This window comes from Homo sapiens, chromosome 3, assembly GCF_000001405.40.
Source record: "Homo sapiens chromosome 3, GRCh38.p14 Primary Assembly".
Classification (NCBI taxonomy): domain Eukaryota; kingdom Metazoa; phylum Chordata; class Mammalia; order Primates; family Hominidae; genus Homo; species Homo sapiens.
In genome coordinates, this window is record NC_000003.12 from 100140502 (window position 1) to 100162102 (window position 21601).

At 39.5% G+C, this 21601-nt stretch overlaps 1 protein-coding gene and 1 long non-coding RNA gene across 7 annotated transcripts in view, besides 1 other annotated feature; one reads left to right on the forward strand and one right to left on the reverse strand.

The window, feature by feature from the left end:
- CMSS1 (cms1 ribosomal small subunit homolog) overlaps positions 1 to 21601 on the forward strand; it is a 363871-nt gene that overhangs the window by 322640 nt on the left and 19630 nt on the right. For both annotated transcript variants that reach the window (NM_032359.4, NM_001167924.2), the window contains exons 2-3: positions 6472 to 6560; positions 19929 to 20000. In NM_032359.4, the coding sequence (NP_115735.2) occupies positions 6472 to 6560; positions 19929 to 20000 (161 nt within the window). The remainder of the gene's footprint in view (positions 1 to 6471; positions 6561 to 19928; positions 20001 to 21601) is intronic.
- LOC105374009 (uncharacterized) lies at positions 1130 to 20203 on the reverse strand. Of its 5 annotated transcripts, XR_007095984.1 has the most exons (5): positions 19684 to 20203; positions 12026 to 12167; positions 11295 to 11449; positions 8563 to 8649; positions 1130 to 6006 (listed from the first exon to the last, which is right to left on the reverse strand). It is a non-coding gene; the product is annotated as an uncharacterized LOC105374009 (long non-coding RNA). The 5 variants fall into 5 exon arrangements; XR_007095983.1 differs by lacking the exon at positions 19684 to 20203 and adding an exon at positions 8873 to 8953 and having other exon boundaries at positions 9636 to 13973; XR_001740460.2 differs by lacking the exon at positions 19684 to 20203 and having other exon boundaries at positions 12026 to 12334.
- Positions 4041 to 4160: an enhancer, noted in NCBI's record as "active region_20151". NCBI's record gives its function as "activates an Ori minimal core promoter by ATAC-STARR-seq in GM12878 lymphoblastoid cells {active_cell/tissue: GM12878}" and the evidence as "EXISTENCE:reporter gene assay evidence [ECO:0000049][PMID:35858748]".

Genomic DNA, 21601 nt, shown 5'->3' on the forward strand with positions numbered 1-21601 from the left:
TGTTATGTTTTCTGTTCTTTTTCTTTCTTTTTTAGAAATGGGGTCTCACTTTGTTGCCCAAGCTGGTCTTGAACTTGTGGCTTCAAGGGATTCTCTTGCCTCAGCCTCCCTAAGCACTGGGATTATAGGCGTGAGCTACAACCCCTAGCCTGTTGTTCTTAACTGTGAGAACTAATAAAGACAGAGGAGCAAGGTTGTTCGCTAGGGCAGATGTAGGTTTTTCTGAGGCCTGAGCTTATGCAATTTCATGGGCCCTCTCTTAGAAAAAGAATGCAAAATTCCTAATATAAAATTAAATATAAAAGAAAAAAAATTTTTTTAATTGGATATGAAAGAAGTTATTTTAAATAAGAAAAAAATAACAGTACTGCCCCAACCACAGCAATTCTGAAAATTGGTATTTTACTCATCCTCATCAAATAAAGAAAAAACATAGTTTCTTTTCAGTCATATACAGTGCACCATCTACTATATGTATCCTACAGGAGAGACGTTCCATTTCAAATAGGCAAAAATGAGAACCTAATTCTCTACTTACAGTTTTATATTTTTTATGATTGGAAGAATCTTCCACTGACTAGTTTGAGGTTTCCTACATTCCAAACCTGGTTCCTCCTCCACTTCCCACATGGTTCTAGGGACTGATGCTCTAGGCACATCTGTGTCATGATCTACACCCTCTAGCCTTGCCCACTTTGTGTCAGAATGTCTGGTGAGTTAGCACAGGATGTCTAGTGCAGGATGCCAGCACTAGAACAGCTAGCAATCATTTGATCATAGACAAAAGTGATTGCAAACCACATAAAAATCCCATTAAATTCAAACTAAATGTATGTGCAACTAGCTTCCTCTAAATGGATCCCCAAAAATGCTCCCAGCCATCCAGCACTACTCCCTGGGAGATACGTGGCAGGAGAATTCTGAGTGGAAACAGACAATGGTCTTAACATATTGTGGTGAAGACGGCGGTCTTAACGTACTCTTTTGCACATTTTAAAGAACAATTGACTGTATGATCCCATTGCCAGGGCCCCTCCCAGTGTCTTCAAGAGTTTGTGCAAGCAAATACCTGAAAACCTAAGGAAAATGATGGGAAACTGAACTTCAGATACTTATCAAAAAGAAGATGAAGGTAGGGATTGAGGTAAAGAGAAGATGTGCAACCTTATATTTTCATTTGCTGTTGTTGCCAGGGGTTGAAAAAGGACAGTGTACTTGATGACTCCTCTTTTGGAATAACTTAACCAATCCCATCTGGCAGTGTCTTTTTTTTTAAGTAGACTCTTCAAGGAGTTGGGGAAGAGGCAGTGCAGTCTTAGTGACTCCACTTAACTGGCTGAATCAACCACTGGGACTGAGTGGCACAGGCCCAGCTTAGCCTCCTCGAATCCCAGCAGTCCTGGAGGAACCTGAGTACTGGAGCCAACCTGGCTAGATTGGGTCCCCATACTTTTCTTTCAATATTCTCTTAATGGAAATCACAGAACTAGCATCCTTACTTCAGAAAAGCAGTTTCTTCTTTTGGAATCAAAAAACATCACAGGCTAAGGAAACAACTAAATTATCCAATTTACAGTGATATAAGATGATCTCATTTTATATGTTAAAAGGTGTCACATAAAATAACTTTTTGGAACAAGAAGTAACAGATTTAGAGCATTTTATAAGCAAGGTATTTTAAATCTTTCTCATAGTTTTTGTTGCATAAGTGCCACACATCTTTAAAAATATGTTACAGTCAGCCCTCCATATCCATGGGCTCCACATATGTAGATTTCACCAACCACAGATCAAAAATATTTGAAAAAAAATGTGTCTTTACTATGTACAGACTTTTTTCTCTTGTCATTATTCCATAAACAATACAGTGTAAGAACTCTATACATAGTATTTATATTGTATCAGGTATTATAAGTAATCTAGAGATAATTTAAAGTATACAGGAGAATGTACATAGGTTGTATGCAAATATTACATCATTTTATATCAGGAACTTGAGCATCTGTGGATTTTGGTAGGTGAAACAGGTCCTGGAACCAATCCCCCACAGATACCAAGGGACTACTGTATTTATTTTCAACTAGATTGCTTAAATATAGACTGTGTTCTTCAGCTAGCAGATTCTGAAGAATGGAGGAATACAGAGTTTCTATTTTTTAAGATCATTCATTGATTTTTAAACATTTATGGGGCTGATCCTGACATTTATTTGTAGGTCATTCTTTTTACCTCAAAGGATTTTTATGATATGAGGATATGAGGAAATTTGTATAAGGGATTAAATGCTTTACATAGAGAATATATGTTACTTTATAATAAAAACGTAAATAAAGCAATAGGTATGGGGAGTCCTTTTTACTTTTAGTCAACACTGGGTCAAGTACTTTGGGCACTCATATGTACCCTCAGAGAGTTTACAGTTCAGATGGAGAGAAAACCTAACATTTATGCAACACCAGTACACATTGTAAGACAAGGTAAAATTATGTGCCAATTTACAAGGTACAGGCTACCAACAGTGTAGAAAGAAGTACAGAGGCAAGAGGAAGAAGGAGAAACATAGTTTCCCTTAAGGATCCCAGATGAAGATGGGTTGGAGAATATTAAGAGAAAGGAGCCCCCATTGATAGAAGCCAATATAAGAATTTTCACAGAACTTGGGGTAGCCTTTAGATTTCTTGGGATTTTTTATGTACACAATCATGTTATCTGCAAATGGAGGCAGTTTGCTATCTTCCTTTCTAATGTATATGCCTTTTATTTCCTTTTCTTGTCATATTGCACTGGTTAAAAGTTCTAGCACTGTGTCAAATAAGACTGGTAAGAGCGGACATCCTTGCCTTGTTCCCAGTCAGGAGCAAAGCTTTGGCCTTTCATTATTAGCCATAATGTTGCTGAAAGTTTTTTTACATGCTGTTTATCAATTTCAATTCTTTTTAAATTTGTTAATGTTTTATGGCCTAGAATATAGTCTGTCTTGGTAGACCCTCTGTGACACTTGGAAAGAGTGTGTATTCTGCCGTTGTTGATTGGATTCTTCTACAAATGTTGATTATATCCTATTGCTTGATGGTGCCACTCAGTTCTATATCTTTGCTGATTTTCTATCTAGTCATTCTCTCAATTTTTAAGAGAGGACTGTTAAAGTTTACAAGTCAATTATGGATTTATCTATTTCTCATTTTATTTCTACTAGTTTTTACTTTGCATGCTTTGTACTTCTACAAAGCATGGAGAGCCTGCTGTTTGGTGCATACACATTTAGGATTGCTATGTCTTCTTGACAGATTACCCTTTATCATTATATAATGTCTCTCTCATTCTCTGGTAATTTTCTTTGCTCTGAAGTCCACTTTCCCTGAAATTAATATTGCCACTCTTGCTTTCCACTGACCAATATTTTCATATTATGTCTTTTTTTCATCCCTTTGCTTTCAGTTTGCCTATATCATTATATTTGAAGTAAGTTTCTTATAACAGCATATAGTTCGGTCATATTTTAAAATTCATTCTGTCAATCTCTGTCTTTAAATTGGTATGTTTGGGCTATTTACATTTAATATATTCATTGATATGTTGGGGGTTTAAATCTGTGTATACGTTTTTTTCTTTTGTTTGATCACTAATTTTTCCATCTCTGTGCGGGGGAGGAGTAGGGGTTGGTCCCCTATCTTCCTATGGGTTACTTGAACATATTGTAGAAGCCCACTTTGATTTATCTCAGTGTTTTTGAGTACATCTCTCTATGTAGCCTTTTTAATGGTTGCTGAAACTATTAGTGTGGATTTGGCCTCATTACTGCTGGGTGATATAGAAAGTCATAACTGTCCACTAGGCTTCCTCTGACACCATCCCAGTGGGATAGGAAAGATATACTTCATTACAGCCAGGAGGGGATGGAAGTCCAGGCTCCTCATGTGGTCACCATTGATACTGCAGTGGTGGTGGTGGTGGTGAAGTTGGGGATGGATGAGGGCTCATTACCACCCTCTGGGGATAAAAATCCCAGCTCCCAGTTTGTCTCCAACATCACCCTGGTAGGAGATGGAGCCTTCAGGGGTCCATCATGGGGTGCCTCATTACACCCTGTCAAGGGTGGAAGTCTAGGCTCCCCATTCTGTCTTTGGTGGTGAGGATGAGGTCATAGTTTTTTCTGTGCTGTTTGGCTACAGTCAAGTGGTTATTGTCTGAAAGGTTTTAGTCTTGCTAGGCTTCCTCTTTCGTGGTCATTTTGGTAAAGAGAGCAGACTTTTGTTGGGGCTTTTTTGGTTGGCTTCCATTGGCATTTCCAGGTAGCTGCCTTCTTCAGCTCCTAGTCTGGGATAATGAGGCAAAAAGATAACCCAGGGAGTTTGCTATTGAATTATTCTTGGTCCCTAAAATCTCTAGCTGGTCTGCTATCTTATCTCCACCTTTCAGAGTCTTTCTATTTTTTTTAAATATGTAATGTCTAGGATTTTTCATTGTACTTCGCCAGAGGGGTAGGGAACAGTGTAACTACTACAGCTATCTTCCTAGAAGCAGAGATCCTATAAATACTTTTAATGACAATTTAATTGTTCATTTTTGAAGGCCCTGTTAATCTGCCTGCTATTTTTCACTACCCTTTTGGGTAGGCTTTTTTTCTCATGCTACACACTTAAGAGTATACATATTAGGCTGGGTATGGTGGCTCATGCCTGTAATCCCAGCACTTTGAGAGGCCGAGGCAGGCGGATCACCTGAGGTCAGGAGTTCAAAACCAGCCTGGCTAACATGGCGAATCCCTGCCTCTACTAAAAACACAAAAATTAGCCAGGCGCCAGGCATGGTGGTGGGTGCCTGTGATCCCAGCTACTCGGGAGGCTGAGGCAGGAGAATCGCTTGAATCCGGGAGGCGGAGGTTGCAGTGAGCTGAGATCACACCATTGCACTCCAGCCTGGGCGACAGAGAGAGATTCCGTCTCAAAAAAAAAAAAGTATACATATTAGTCAGGGTTCTCCAGAGAAACAGAACCAACAGGATTATATAAGGAACGAGATTTACTCTAAGGAATTGGCTCACATGATTATGGAGGCTAGCCAGCCCAGCCCTAAGATCTTCATGGCAAGTTGACAAACTGGAGATCCAGGAGAGCTGATAGTTTAGTTCTAGTCCTAGTCTAAAGGCCTTAGAACTAGAGAAGATGATGCAGTTTTAGTCTAAACATGATAGGCTTGCGACCCAGGAAGAGCTGGTGTTTCAGTTCAAGTTGAAAGGCAGGAATAATTCTCCCTTACTCAAGGATAGGTCAGTGCTTTTATTTCAACCAATTGGATGAGGCCCACTCACATTATGGAAATTAATCTGTTCTATTCAGTCTATCCATTTAAATGTTAATCTCTCTAAAAATACCCTCACAGCAACACCCAGAATGTATGACCAAATATCGGGGCACCCCATGGCCCAGTCAAGTTGACACATAAGATTGACCATCACAGTATGCAAACATTTAAAAGCACAGGCTTAACAAAATGGTTAAGTTGGACCTAAATATGAACTCTGACAGAACATGTTCACATATTCACATTTGAGGCTCACTTTGAGATATACAGAGAAACTCAAGGGAATGAGTAAAGTCTTTCATAGATCAAAAATTTGTTTAAAGGAAGCAAGCACTAAAATCTGAAAGGCAGCGCGACATTATGGGAAATAAGAACCTTCTGGTCACCGTGTTTCTTCAGAAGAGCTTTATAAATAGGAAAACTGTTAAAACTTTTATTTTTCCTGATTCTTAGGGTAAGAATTTATTTTTTCTATTGTGGAAAGGTTAAAAAATTCAAAATAAGAATTTCTCATGACCTGTAATCCCTTTGTCACAATCTCTCAACATTTCCTCCTGGGGCCAGCATCTGATGTCAAGGCCTGGCTGGTTCTGGGTGCAGGCATCACTTGCTGGGGATAACTTCAGACTCAAATAGACTTTAGTTCCCAGGTGTGTGACCTTGGGCAAATGGCTTTACCTCTCTGAACAGCAGTCTTTTTATCTAAGAATAGAGGGATTTCATATCTGTAAAATCAGTAGTTATATTGTAAGAATTAAATTAAATAATGTCTGTGAAGCATAGTGTTAAACATGTAGTAACCACTCAATAATTCTAGCCCTGACCACTTACTATTATCATCATAAGACAGCCTTTTGTCATTGTAAACTCTTAATAAATACCACTTTTTAAAGGCTGTAAAACGTCCTCTTGTATGAGTGTTCTGTGACAAAACATTCCCTCCTAAGGTGACACATCTAAGTTATCTTTAGTTTTTCAGTTTTATAAATGAGAATGCCATCTTAGTGCTTAAATATCTGTTTTACTTTGGACCATTTCCTTAAGTGCAGCTTCTTTGAGGTAGAATTAAAAAGTGAAGAGATAGAACCTTCTAGAAAGATGGTACCAAGATTGCACTAGCAATGAGAGAGAGAGACTTTTCTGATTTTCAAACTTTATATTTTCTAGAAGCATCAGATGGTGAAGGAGAAGGAGACACAGAAGTGATGCAGCAGGAGACAGTTCCAGTTCCTGTACCTTCAGAGAAAACCAAACAGGTGAGGGGTCACTGTGGGAGAGCCACCACTGTTAAATTCTGAAATCAGCCTTTTCCTCCTCTCTATTGAACTCCCCATGTCCTAATATCGGTTGTTGGTGGGATTTAAGAGAGCCTTTTACTTTCTTTCCCTTTGAAAAGGCCATGGGCCATGCTTCCTTCATTGTAAACCAGCAAGTTCTGTTTTTTGCCCTAATTCTTTTTCTTTTTTTTTTTTTTTTTTTTTTTGAGACAGGATCTTGCTTTATCACCCAGGCTGTAGTACAGTGGCACAATCATGGCTCACTGCAACCTTGACCTTCTGGGCTCAAGCAATCCTCTTACCTCAGCCTCCCAAGTAGCTGGGATACCACAGGCATGCACCACCACACCCAGCTAATTTTTTTATGTTTTGTAGAGATGAGGTTTCTCTGTGTTGCCCAGGCTGGTCTCAAACTCCTGAGCTCAAGCAATCTACCCACCTTGGCCTCCCAAAGTGCTGGGATTACAGGTGTGAGCCACTGCTCCTGGTTCCTAATGTTTTTTAACTATATAAATGCATTTCACAATAATATCTTAGATTCTTACATCACATTTTTGCCAAAAATCCAGCCTTATGCTTTTGGGTACAACTCCTAAAAGGAGATAAATAGTATAAAGATAGAGAAGGTTATCACACACTAGAGTGCATGATTACAGCACCAGGCCATGCTGCCAGCAGGCTCCTGGGACCTTATTTCTGCCCAGAATTATGGTCTGTCATATGCATTCTTAACAGGTGATTCGTGGTCTTTGCCATTACCAGAATTGGCCATTTGGATAATCTTTTTTCCTAAACTTGTGACCTTTTATTGCCTTTTTAATCTTCCTACTGACTTTAGAAATGCCACTCACATCCATTTGTAGCTTTTTCTCATTGGGTTTCCATCAAACCTGATTGGTATTTAGTTTGATGCAAAAGTAATTGTGGTTTTTGCCATTCCTTTTAATTTTAAAAAATTACTTTTGCACCAACCTAATAAATCTATGTGATTTGGGGTTTTGTTTGTTTGTTTTTGAGATAGGGTCTTGCTCTGTTGCCCAGGCTAGAGGACAGTGGCACAATCATGGCTTACTGCAGGCTCAACCTCCCAAATTCAAGTGATCCTCCCACCTCAGTCTCCTGAGCAGCTGGGACTATCGATGTGCACCACCACACCGGCTAATTTCTTTATCTTTTTGTAGAGATGAGATCTCACTATGTTAGCCAGGCTGGTCTCGAACTTCTGGGCTCAAGTGATCCTCTTTCCCTTGGCCTCCCAAAGTGCTGGGATTACAGGCATGAGCCGCAGTGCCTGGCTTATGTGTGATCTTTTAAAGGACTGTCTATTACCAATCCAAAGTTACTATATTTTTCATTGCAACAATTTGGGGTCTTATTCTTATTGTAGGTGCTTTAAACTCATTACACCAGAGTGTTATTCTACCCAAAGTTTGTGACCCAGCTCAGGATAACTGTGAGAAGCAATTTAGTGTAGTGTTGCTTAACTTGCCCACCGAAGTGGACAAGTTAAATTTCCCTGTGACTCAGTCACCTTCTTGGTAAATGATAACAATTATTTCTTCCTCACAGAGTTGTAATGATGATTAAATAAGACTGTGCTTGATAAGCACTTCAAACAGTGGTTATCAGAGAGTAATCACTGAAGTGTTAATTATTATATAGTTAATAATTATATTATAATCTTTTTTATTTTGTCCATTATTTTTTCTTCCTGGGAAGGGACATGCAGAAAGGTATACATGTTTAATATATAATCATCTTGGTTTTTTTTCTCCAACCATTAAATATTTTGCTCAAAGGCCCTATACTAGTTTTAGTTTCAATCATTCTTCTGGAAACCTACAGGGTAACACATCCGTAGCTCTTCAATTTATTTCCTCAAGGTGGGGTTTAATTTTTCCCTAGCTTATCCCACTAATCATACCATAGTCATGCCCTCTCTGACTTTTGCCTCTAATCAATGTCTACCTACAGGACTTACTTGCACGTAGTCTTCTTCATACTCCATTGGCTTTCGTTTTTTTCTTGCTTTCCCCTTGATTTTCTTCTTGTTTGTTCCTTGCTCTTTCTGGACTCATTGGTAAAACAATAAAGACCTTTTATTGAGCAGTTAATACTGTTACTGTATAAGGCACACTGTAACATAATCCTCACGGCATCCCTAGGAGGTAGGTGGTACCCACTTTACAAAGAACCAGAGGCTCAGAGAGATGGGTTCTGGGGGTCATGGCCCATCTGCTTGGCTGTGAGCCAGACTCCAAGGATACTGTTGCTTTCACTTTCCTTTTTACCTGTCCTCTCTCTTTCAGCTCAGGAAAATTGGATTAACCGTGTTCTCATGTGTTTTGTTGGTCACATGCCATTGCTATTTTCTGCCAAGCAAAAAAATAATTACAAAACCTTAAGCTGTTACTGCCCCCTTTTAATCACTTTTCTCTTGCTTTAATTTCTTTCACCACCAAATTGCTTTGAAGAGTCCAAGTCCTAACCCCTTTCTCCAACCCTATCCTAATTTCCCTGGCCAGAGAAATATCATTTTTTTCTGAATTGACATGAGAATCTGCATGTGCTCCTCTGCCTCATATGAGTGTTGCCCATCTTGGTCCCTGCTTATCCCCAGGAGACTCACCTCGAGGACAGATTTTATCTGTGCGTCTCCACAGCGCCTGACATGGAACCTTGCCCTTAATTGGCACTCATTATTTGTGAAATGAAGGAATGAATGACCATACCGGTATCCCAGTTTTCTCATGACTCTTCCCATCTCAGCCCTTTGTCCCAGCTTGTGAGCTGTCCCCTCCCTGACACAGCTGCCTGCAGAGGTCTCTTGGGGCCTTGTGATGCCCTATCCCTCCTCCAACCACATCCCTGATTTCCCAACACAATTCCCTCCTTGAAAGGCTCCTCCACCTTGACATTCAGGGCTGGGGTCTGTCCTCTCCATCCCTGCCTGCCCACACAGTCCCTCCAACTCCCCTGTGGCCTCCTTCATCCTCTCTCTCCCACTGCTCTTCTCCCTCTGGAACTCATCCCACCACCCCAAGGATGACTTACTTGTCAGGCATACTGTCTGTCCTTTCAGGAGTCCTTCTCTAATTGTTTACACGCATAGAACTTGAGTCTCCAGCTGGTTCGTAAGTCCCTTGGGGCCAGGGTTTCTTTTGTGTCCACTATAGTACCTAACACAGTTTGGGGCTCTTATTTGGCAGATATGACCAGATGTATGTTTTCTAAATATAACTGCATTTTTTCTGGATCAATTTTTTAAAAATGTTATGCTATATTTAAATTTTAGATTTGTTTCAACTTTGCTTAAGACTGTACTATTCCTTCAGTTTTTCTTTATGCTTGTACAGGAACTACTTGGCATGATGCTGTCAGCTGTAATATACATTTAGGCTTTAATATCACCAGGCAAGAGCATCTGTCAAGATAGATGATGTTCCCTCCTTTGCCATAGCTGGGCCTCACATTTCTGTCGCTGAATACATGCCTCTAGTTTGTTCAGTATTTTAAGCAGCAGATTTATAACTTTAAAGTTTTTAAATCCATGCAACTACCTCATCTCTAGCAACCATTTCACATCTAAATAATCATCCTTGGCCTGCTTAATAATGTGAGTATAAAGATTTGCCAATAGTTCTTTTTCCCCCAGTAATCACTTCCAAAATAAATGATGAATTCCCTACTCCTAGAGATTGCATCACCCTCTTCCCTCTTCAGCATCAGTCATTTCAGAGCCAGCCCTAGTGACTTTGTAATTATGGTTCCCAGAATATAAACCCTTATGAAGGATTTTTTGACTTTTCCTTGATGCTTCCATGATGTCAGTAACATTTCAGTGGTTCCATGACCCATCTTCTCCTGCTCAGAGACCACAGTGGACTTCTTTTTTCTTCTGCTGGCCTTTGTTTATCTCCTTTAATCATAAAGGAATCTTCAGCAGGAGTGTTTCTCCCTTTCCCTTCTTGCTCTCCTTTCTCTACTGTTGTATTTTCTTGCTACTACTTTATTTGACCATTGGTCATTTCATATTTCTTCCACTCTTCATCTCCAAGATTATGCTTATCTATTGTTGAAAGAAAACAGAGCTGTGTCCTATTCATTCTCTGATTCACCTTTTTCCTTTTCATTATGGTTTCTCAGTTCTGTTCTGTGTATTAATCTATTGTTTCATTGACAAATTGCCCAAAAGTTAGCAGCTTAAAATAAAACAAAAACATTTATTATGTCAGTTTCTGTTATCTCACAGACATGGCTTAACTCAGTGCCTCTGGCTCTGCTTCTCTTGTCAGGTACCAGCCAAGTTGTGGGCTGGGGTTGGAGGCTTAGCTGGGGAGAGTTTACCTTGCAGCTCACTGGTGTGGATGCCGGCACGTCTCAATCTCTCACTATTTGAGCCTCTCCACAGGGTTGCCTCACAGCGTTGCAGTTGCCTTTCCCCAGGCCGAGTGATCCAAGAGGGAACCAGCAAAAGCACCCAAGACAGAAACCACAATCTTTTTATAGTTTATTCTCAGAGTTGACACCTCGTCACTTCTGCCATATTAAGCGAGTTAGTAAATCCAGTCCACATTCATGGGGAAGAGATTACAAAGGAATATGAGTACCGGGAGATCGAGATCATGAGGAGCTATCCTGGAATCTGGCTACCACACTCTTCCTCTGGCCCCCCAGTGACTTATATCCCTTCAATGTGCAGAATATACTCACCCCTCCAAGGATTGCAAAGTCTCATCCCATTGCAGTGTGAGCTCAATATCCAAAATCTTGTCATCTAAATCAGGTCCAGGTGCAGTTGGGGCTCCTCAGTTTTAATTCCTTAAGTACAGCTCTTTGAGTACATTTCTTCTTCTTAACCTGTGAAACTAAAGAGACAAGTTACCTCTCCCACATGCTCAACACACAGTGGTGGGACAAGTGTAGTATAACCTTTATTGACATTTCTATTCAAAAGAAGGCAAATAGGAGGCACATGGAGTCATTGGTACACAGCATTCTGAAGGCCATCCAAGCAAATATCAGGAGTTTATTTATTAAGTCTCGAGGCCTAAGAGTAATTCTCCATGGTTCTTGGCTCTGCCCTTGGGGCTTTGTTTTGTCCTCCAATTATCCTTCTTCTTTTTTTTTTTTTTCTATTAAAAGCAGAATGGGTTTGCAACTGAACAGCTAATGCAGCCTGCTTCTTGACAGAATTCTCCGTGTCCAAAGGCCTCTGTTCTCATTGTTCTCTGACTCTCTCAGCCCAAACTAGTGGTATTTCTGCATATATACCTCCTTTAAAAACTGTGGGTGTCACCTGTGATGCTTCTGGGGGTTCACTCCATTAGGCAGAAGTCACACCCCTAATCTCTTCTCTACCTTGGGCCCTTGCTGAGAGAATATGAGGCAATATTCCTTAAGCTTCCTAGAGGCAGCTTGTTTAAAAAAATCTGTGAGCACACCCTTAATTTATTTAAAGCGCTCCTATGTGACTGAATCGTATTCTGAGGCACCATCTTTGTTTCTTCTGAGGTCTTCACGAATGGTTTTAAGTCACACCCTTGATTTCATCTTTAATCTTCCTTCTCTCAATTCAACGCCTTCCTGTAAGACCCAAGAAGAAATCAGGTGTCACCTTCAACACTATTTGAAAATCTCCTTAGCTAGATTACCCTTGCCAATAGACACATTTTCCATATAATTTCAGAAAACTGTATTGCTAAACTTTCTACCACTGCATAACAAAGAGCCCCTTTCCTTTAGTTTCCAATAAGATTTTTCTTTCTTCAAGCCCTCACCTTCCATGTCTTCAAAGTCCAAAATTTCATAGTGTTGTTCAAGCGCATTCTTCATCAATCACTTTACTTTTGACACATTTCAGAGTAGTTTGCAAAATCAGTACACTCACTCCAGATACTTCAGCATGCATATCACTGACTAATGTTTAATATTTATCTTAAAGTATGTATATTTTCTTTTGAGGTAAAGTTAATATACAATAAATGTACAAATGTCAAATATACCATTCAATGAATTTTGACAAATAAATACAACTATGTAATTCAAAGCCCAGTCTGGATTGAAAAAACAGGATCATCACCCCCAGAATCCTTTCATGCCACCTGGGTCAATCACGATGCTAAATTCCTTGCCTCAGAGGCAACAACTGTTCCGATATTTTTTCTAAAAAATTAATTTTGCCTATTCTAAAATGGCATATAAATGGAATCATACAGTTACATGCTGTTTTGTTTAAGGCTTCTTTCATTCGACACAGTATTATTTAGATTCCTCCATGTCAGTGTATAGTATTTCACTTCTTTTTATCGCTGAGCACATTAAGTCTGCTAGGGCTGCCATAACAAAATGCCATAGACAGGGTGGCTGAAACAACAGTTCTAAAAGCTAGAAGTCTGCGATCAAGATGTCTACAGGTGTGGTTTCTCCTGAGGCCTCTCCCCTTCACTTGCAGATGGCCTTCTCACTATGTCTTCACATGGTCTTTTCTCTGTCTGTGCATATCCCTGGTGTCTCTTCTTCTTATAAAGACACCAGTCACATTGAATTGAGGCTCCACCCTTATGACACCTCATTTAACCTTAGTTGCCTCTTTAAAGGCCCTATCTCCAAATATAGTGGCATTGGGGGTTAGGGTTTTAACATATGACTTTCAAGGCAATACAATTCAGTTTAGAACACTGAGTAGTATTCAGTTATACAAATGTACCATTTTGTTTATCCATTCCTCTATTGATGGACACCTGAGGCTATTTCTTTTTTTTTCTTTTTTTTTTCTTTTTTTTTAAGATGGAGTCTTGCTCTGTCGCCCAGGCTGGAGTGCAATGACGCGATCTCAGCTCACTGCAACCTCTGCCTCCTGAATTCAAGCAATTCTCCCACCTCAGCCACCTGAGTAGCTGGGATTACAGGCATCTGCCATCATGCCTGGCCAATTTTTGTATTTTTGTAGAGACGGGGTTTCACCTTGTTGGCGAGGCTGATCTTGAACTCCTGACCTCAAGTGATCCGTCCACCTGGGCCTCCCAAAGTGCTGGGATTACAGGTGTGAGCCACCCCAGCCTGGGACTATTTCTTGTTTGGCACTATTGTGAATAAATCCACCATGAATATTCACATACAAGTTTCTTGGGGAATGGTTTTTAAGCTTTTTTATTTTTTTTACATTTTTAATTGACACATAATAATTCTACGTATTTATGGGGTACATAGTGATGTTTGTATAGTGTTCACATCAGAGCAGAACATGTATTTTTATTTTTGTTTAGTAAATACATGACAATTGCTGAGTCATCTTCAATTTCATAAAAAAAAACTGTCAGATCTTTTTCCTATATAATGTATCATTTTGCACCCCCACTATCAGTGTGTGAGAGTTTTGGTTGCTGTACATCCTTGTCAACATTTGGAGTTATTGGCCTTTTAATGTTTGACATTTTGGTGAGTGTGTATTGAATAACTTTGACCATGTCCAAAAGAAACTAAAAGCCACTTCTAAGTTGTTTTTATCTTTATAATGAACATGCTTGTTTTGTTGTAAAATGGCAATTTAAATTTTTTTATTTTTACCAACCTAATAATCATACATATATTTTTAAAAAATATCAGCTGGGCGTGGTGGCTCATGGCCTGTAAATCCCAGCACTTTGGGAGGCTGAGGCGGGCAGATCACTTGAGGTCAGGAATTCAAGACAAGCCTGGCCAATGTGGTGAAACCCCAACTCTACAAAAAATACAAAAGTAGCTAGGCATGGAGGCACACCCCTGTAATCCCAGCTACTCAGGAGGCTGAGGCAGGAGAATCATTTGAACCCAGGAGGCGGAGGTTGCAGTGAGCTGAGATCATGATGCTGCACTCCAGCCTAGGCAACAGAATGAGTAAGACTCTGTCTCAAAAAATAAAAATTTAAAAAATTTAAAAATCAAACAGTATTACTTATTTACTAAGAGAAAACTTCAGCTTCTCTAGCTTTTTTCCTTACTTTCTGCCTTACAGTTTACACGGGTATTTCTTGACTTATCGATTTCTGACATAATCTACTGACATCCTGACATAGCATATGAGGACATGGTTCTCCTATCTATTATACTTCCTATTTCCTCACCAACTGCTGCCTCCCCTGCCAACAAGATACCACATTTTGGTCAAAACAGTTGTCACTATTACATCATTATGATGATGGAAATATTGTTCAACACTGAGAGAAAGAAGCTATAACCATCCCTCCTTTCTTATACAGCTCTTTATTTTCATGGCATTAACAGTTGCTTCATTTCTTTATTTGCCTGGCTTACTCTGTTCCTATTGTTAATTGTTTCCATATGTTCCAACATCTCTTCCACATTCCCATGAATAATATTTTCCATATGCTCAAATAGATTAGTTGTTTTGTTTTGTTTTGTTTTGCTGCAAAACTCCATATTTCTATTTCACTCCAAACTGGTTATTCTCCAGGCCCACTGAACAATTGAGACCTCTTAACTGTCATCCTAGGATGCCCCTTCAGCACCCTCCTGGGCTGGACTCCTTTTTGGCTAAATCCCATAGCTTCCTTTTGTTTGGTTTCACCCTTTATATTCTGAAATACAGCCTTCAGTATCTGCAGGTAGGAAGTAAATTTTTTGAGACTTCATATTTGAATATGTCTTTATTCTACTCTTACACTTGATTGATACTTTGGCTGGGTATAAAAGTTTAATTTGCAAATAAACTTTATTCATAATTTTGAAAGCATCATTCCATTAAGTTCTAGCATCCATTATTGCTTTTTAGAAATCTTGGCACTATTCTTTTTTCTGATCCTTTGTATTTTGTATGTTATTATTTTGAAGGGGAAAATTTTAGAATCTTCTTTGCCCATGATTTTCTGAAATTTCACAGTGATGCTCCTTGGTATGGGTATTTTTCATATTCATAGTACCCTATACCTAATGGGCTTTCAATCTGGAGTTTTATGTTCTAGAAAGTTTCCTTCAGGCAACACAAAAGTTTGTCATATATATTTCTTTTTTTTAAATTTTATTTTGTCATGTTTTATGTCTTTGATGACTCCTTTTTAGAGACAAGGGTCTCACTTTGTCACTCATGCTGGAGTGCAGTGGTACAATCATAGCTCACTGCAACGTTGAACTCCTGGGCTCAAGAGGTCCTCCTGCCTCAGCCTCCCAAGTAGCTAGGAGTACAGGTATGCGCCACCACACTAGCTAATTTTTTTTCTTTTTTTTTTTTTTTTTTTTTTTTTTTGAGGCAGAGTTCGGCTCTGTCACCCAGGCTGGAGTTCAGTGACGCAATCTTGGCTCACTGCAACCTGTGCCTCCCAGGTTCAAGAGATTTTCCTGCCTCAGCCCCCTAAGTAGCTGGGATTACAGGCGTGCGCCACCACGCCCAGCTAATTTTTGTATTTTTAGTACAGACGGGGTTTCACCATGTTGGTCAGGCTGGTCTTGAACTCCTGACCTCGTAATCCGCCCTCCTCGGCCTCCCAAAGTGCTGGGACTACAGGCGTGAGCCACCACGCGCAGCCTTTTTGTTTGTTTTTGTTTTTGTTTTTGAGACGGAGTCTCGCTCTGTCGCCCGGGCTGGCGTGCAGTGGCACGATCTTGGCTCACTGCAAGCTCCGCTTCCCGGGTTCACTCCATTCTCCTGCCTCAGCCTCCCAAGTAGCTGGGACTACAGGCGCCTGCCACCACGCCTGGCTAATTTTTTGTATTTTTAGTAGAGATGGGGTTTCACCATGTTAGCCAGAATGGTCTCAATCTCCTGACCTCGTGATCCACCTGCCTCGGCCTCCCAAAGTGCTGGGATTACAGGTGTGAGCCACCACGCCTGGCTGTTTTTTGTTGTTGTTGTTGTTGTTGAGACAGGGTCTCACTATGTAACCAGGGCTGGTCTCAAACTCCTGGCCTCAAGCAGTCCTCCCACCTTGGCCCCACAAAGCACTAGGGTTACAGACATGAGACACCATGCCAAGCCCCCTACTGTTTTATGTGATCTCTTTTTCTATAATATCATTTATTGAAAAATTGAATCTCTTGGGCTGATTCTCTGATTTTCTCACCACTTTTTTCTTTTCATTTTTCATCTCTTTCTGGGACATTGCCTCTACTTTATCTTCAAGCCTTCCTCGTTTATTTTTATTCCACATTTCTTATTTGTTTTAATGCTTAACTGTTTTTCCCATTTTTACAGCATCTTGTTCTTGTTTCATGGTTGCAAAATCTTCCCTTATCTCTCTGAGGATATGAATTGTCATTATTTTGAGGTACCATCCCACTTTTCTCTAGGTTCATTTTTCTTTTTGTTATTTATTTGCTCTTGTGTTGGAGACTTTCCTTAGATGTCTGAGGAACCTTAGCTATCCATTCTTATTGAAGAGAGATACACTGAAACAGTGATGAGTTGGGTTTGTCAATTAGTGTATTCATGGTAGGGTGATAGGATAACAAGCTGGATTTTTTACTATGGAACTCCCAAACGTCACTCTCTGATGGTATTTCTTTTAGGCCATTCCATTTTTCCAAAGAGGAATTCAGTAGTCTCCTGCCTGCAATATGTAAGCATGGAATAGGGACAGGAAATGGAGGCAAGCCTCAGCCTCTGCCCTTTCTCCCCTGGCCCAGCCTTGATCCTCTTGATGTCTTCAGAGAATAGATCTCCAGTCGGCTGGCAGGACAGGCAAGGTGAAAGGAAGCAGTAATGGGATAGTTGCTTGGCTACCAGGGTAGGAGATATCACCTAGTGGGGGACAGGAGTAGCTAATCATTCTAAATATAAACTTTCAGCCAATCTCTTCTTTTTTAACCCTTTACTCTCTGTAGTACTTTGTGCCTCCAAAGTACTGGACCTTCTCAGAGTCGAGCAGGTCAAAGACTTACTTATTGTTAGCTTCCACCCCTTCTGAAACCCAGCTGCTAGCTTTCTCTCTGTGCCAAGTCACTTCTATCCAGCTCCAGCCACTTTCCATTTTCCAAAAAGTTGTTGAAATCTCTCCATTACTGTTGTTCTCTCTCCTGGTTTCTTGGTTTTTATATAGATCCTGCTCAATAGGTCCTTTTCAATGCCCTTTATTTTCAGTTTACTGGTATTTTGAGGTCCATTTGCCATGTGTAACCAGGAGAATCATTCTTAAAGTAATTTTTGATACTTTAAGGAATTGAAAATATGCTCTAGTTGCTTCCCTTAAAAGCAACATTTTTTTAGGGGAGTGTGATTCTTCAGACTACATATTTAAAATTGCTACATTTCATATAAAGAAATGACATTACTTATCAACTGTCAAAGTCACACAGTGTTGGAATTGGTTTCCAGAAATGCTTAGTGGCTTGGCCGGATTCTTTCACATCTTCCTACCTAGTCTCCCTGAGGGTAAACAGCAACATTCATAAAGCAGTTAACTAAATGTAAGAATTTTCAATACTGTGGATTTGGATTTCTCCATAAAGTCATCTCACCTCTATGGAAATTGACCCCATAAAATTGGCCTCTTCATTGGCACCCTACCACAGCCAGCTAAAGTAACTAGTCTCCAAAACCAAAGATTATTTTGCATTTCCTTTAGGATGATGTAAGAATTTGAACCTATCATTTAACTGAAGCAATATCATGGCTAAAGCAGTTCATCAAGCATGTTTCGTTTTCCTGTGCATGATTCAGAATTACATTTTTATTTTTTCTCCCAGAATTAAAGAGTCCATATTCTTACAATTGAGCTCATTTCTAGATTTAATTTATGTCATGTTTTAATTAATTGGCTTTGTAAACCTAGCACAAATGCAACCAGTACACTGAACATATTCCTCGAGAACACCTCCATACGTTAATAGATTGTAACAGGTTTCTAAATACGCTTCCCAAAAACCTTGATACTGGTAGAGATAATGCAGTATAGTTTAAGGGATCTGCTAATCATATCCCGGCCTTTGCCTTAGGAACATGAGCTGAACACTGGCCTGGTTTGTAATTGGACTCTTATGGCCATCTGGCAGCTTCTGTGACATATTAGTGGCCTTGGCACAGTCTCTAATTGGCATGTACCAGCATCAAATTGGCATGTATCTACATCCACAAGACAGTTTAACTTTCTAAATAAAAGAAGCCATATCTCTCTTTTCTTTAGCTATGATGCAATTGCTCTTTGCAGGTTTTTTGTTTTATCTTAGAGGAAACTAAAATTTCAAGATTTCCCATGTCACTTTAATCCTGAACTTTTTAAATCTATTTCTGTAATAACTAAAAGAGAATCTTGAAACTGCGGGTCTTTGGCCCCATGTCTTGAAGAAATTATGTAGTATTATATCTTTCTCTCTGACTTCAGGCCATAGACATTCTCAATCTGCAGGCTGTCTGCAAGCTTTCATAGAAAGATTCATCTGTAATCATTTTAGCAGAGCCAGTGGAGACAAGATTGCTTTAGTTAGTAGCTTATCAGTTTAAACTGAGTATTCTCTGGTTGGAATGGAAAGTTAATCAAGGAAAACTCAGAATAAGTTTTCACTTACATTTTATATCTTACTTGGCAACTTGTTTGACAATGTTGCATAAAAGGTCCAGCACAGGAAACATTTTATACTCCTGCTTATGATTAATAAATATGGAATCTGGGGCATTCTATTTTATAAATCAAGGTCTTAGTCCAAATTTCCTGTTTTTCTACATTAGAAAAAAGCCCTCAGGGTAAAAATAGTACTAAACTGGGGTACTCAGGGGTCAAGGCAACAGGCAAAACAGATTACTCTAGATACTGTGGTGCTGAGACGGTTATCAGACTAGTAGCAAAGACATTCATTTTGTAGTCATTATAGCAAAGGCATTTGATGCAGCTGGTTTATAAAAACGTAAGTTAATATATCTTACTTTGGATTTTCTATGCTTATTGAAAAGAGGAAAGGAATGTATAATACAAAACAATAAACCAGTGACTTGGAAATGTAGGCTCACACACAGCTAGTTCATGGAAAACCTTAGTCACTCTAGTCAAAGACTGTCTTACCACATCTTAATTTTAATCACATCGATTTCTGCTGTATTATACAAACTCAGCCACTGTCTTCAATCTCCAATACACTGCACTTCCACACCAAGCACACATATACACTCACTCACAATTTGATCTTGCTCAAAGATTCTCCAGTCTTAAGTCATCTGCGCTTTCTGACTTTCTCAAATTCTCTCAGCCCAACCGCTGCATAGTAACCTACGGTAGATCTTCCAGCATCTCTCTTTCTGTAGAATATTACCAAGATACTCTGAAGAATACATGCATGGCAGAAAGTACTTTGGGGTTCATGCCACTAATTGACACTTTATCATGAAAAGATTAAAATGTTCTCATTTGTATTTCTTAATAGCCTAAAGAATGTTTTTTGATACAACCAAAGGAAAGAAAAGAGAATACCACCAAGACCAGGAAAAGAAGAAAGGTAATATTAATAATTTCTTAAATTTGTATGGCCCCACATGGTTTCCATCACATTTTTATATATCATACTTTCTTGAGGCAACTATTGTAATCCCCACCTAAGAGATGCAGACATTGTAAGATTCTTTGAGGTTTGGTGACTTTCCTAAGGTCACTACTAATAAGTGTTTCTGTTGGAGCTAAGAATAAATTCTTCTGACTCCTATTTCAGTCCTGTGGAGTGCCAAATATCTTTGTTACCCACCCTATGTTTTCAGTGTGGTCAGATGTCAGACATAGATTTCTAATTCTAGAAGGAGTCCAGAGCTATCCTCCCCCGGCCCTTCTGGCTCTGTCCATGAAAAGAAATATACCAACCTCCTTTTTCTATTCATTCCGGATTTTAAGACCTTATACCTTAAAGTATGAATAAAAAGAAAATAATAAGCAGATGAAGGTAGTATGAGGCACTTCTGACTAATTTGGAACCATAAATTAGGTCAAAAAAGCTCCCCTACCTTGCATTTTGATATTTGCTGGTGAGCACAGGAAAGACTCTTTCTCATATACAAACTTTTTTATGGCTCAGCCTTGGAGAAAGTATGGTTAGCTATGACCTTCTCCCACAGTTGTGAAAACAGCAGTGTAATTCTCTCCCTGCCAAGAGGGGTCTGCTGCTGAAGTCAGCCGAGGAAATACGATTGGGATTAGAGGAAAGAAGATGGACTCAAACCTATTACTTAACAGCAAGCTTTTAGAAAACTGAGAGTGTGTGTGCATATGTTTTCTTTTCTTACAAATGGCCAAATAGGAAAATGGGAGATGCCAAATTGGCTGAGGTTTGGCAAGTCCTTAAATAAGTGACTTTAACTTCGCTTTGATAATTTGTACACTAATGGCCTTCTGGAGTGTTAAGTTCTTGGTGGCTCAAGGTCAAAACTCTAGCTAGATAGTTTAGTCTTGACTGAGGTCACACTAAAATGTGCCCACTGATGACATATTTTTAAAAGTTAATTTCTTTGACAGAGGCTTGACCATTCTTGGCAAGTGTCTAGAAATGAGGATATTGTAGAAGGAGGGGGAAAATCTGGGGTCAGGGGTGGGGAATGCTCCTTCTGGATCTTTGGTGGAACATTAGAAGGAAGTGAGAAGGGAAGCTTATGATGGAAATAAATGAATGATTGTGGGTTTCTACTACTGCAGCATTCAATACATGCTACACAAATGAGTCCAAATCAAAATCGATGTTGGAAAGTATTTCCTGTAATATTTTTTCTACTTTGCATAGGGCCACTTTAATACCATCAGTTATCCAAGACCTGAGAATCGAGGGTGTTAAGTCCCCTTCTCAGTAGGCCCCTATGCTCAGATTCCTACTGCGGGTTTTACACTAATGACAGAAATCCAAACTAAGACTCAGCACCTCAAAAACCAGATTGGGCAAGAAATTCTCAAAATTCTAATCCTACAGGAATATAAATCATCTAGGGCTAAAAGAGAGCTCTCCATAGCAATGAGATTTCTTTACTTTTAACAGAAAATAATACCCCAGTATGGAGATGCCTGCAAAAATTTAGTTATCTTGGAAGTCATAGACCAAGAGTTACAGGGAGCTTTCTAGAT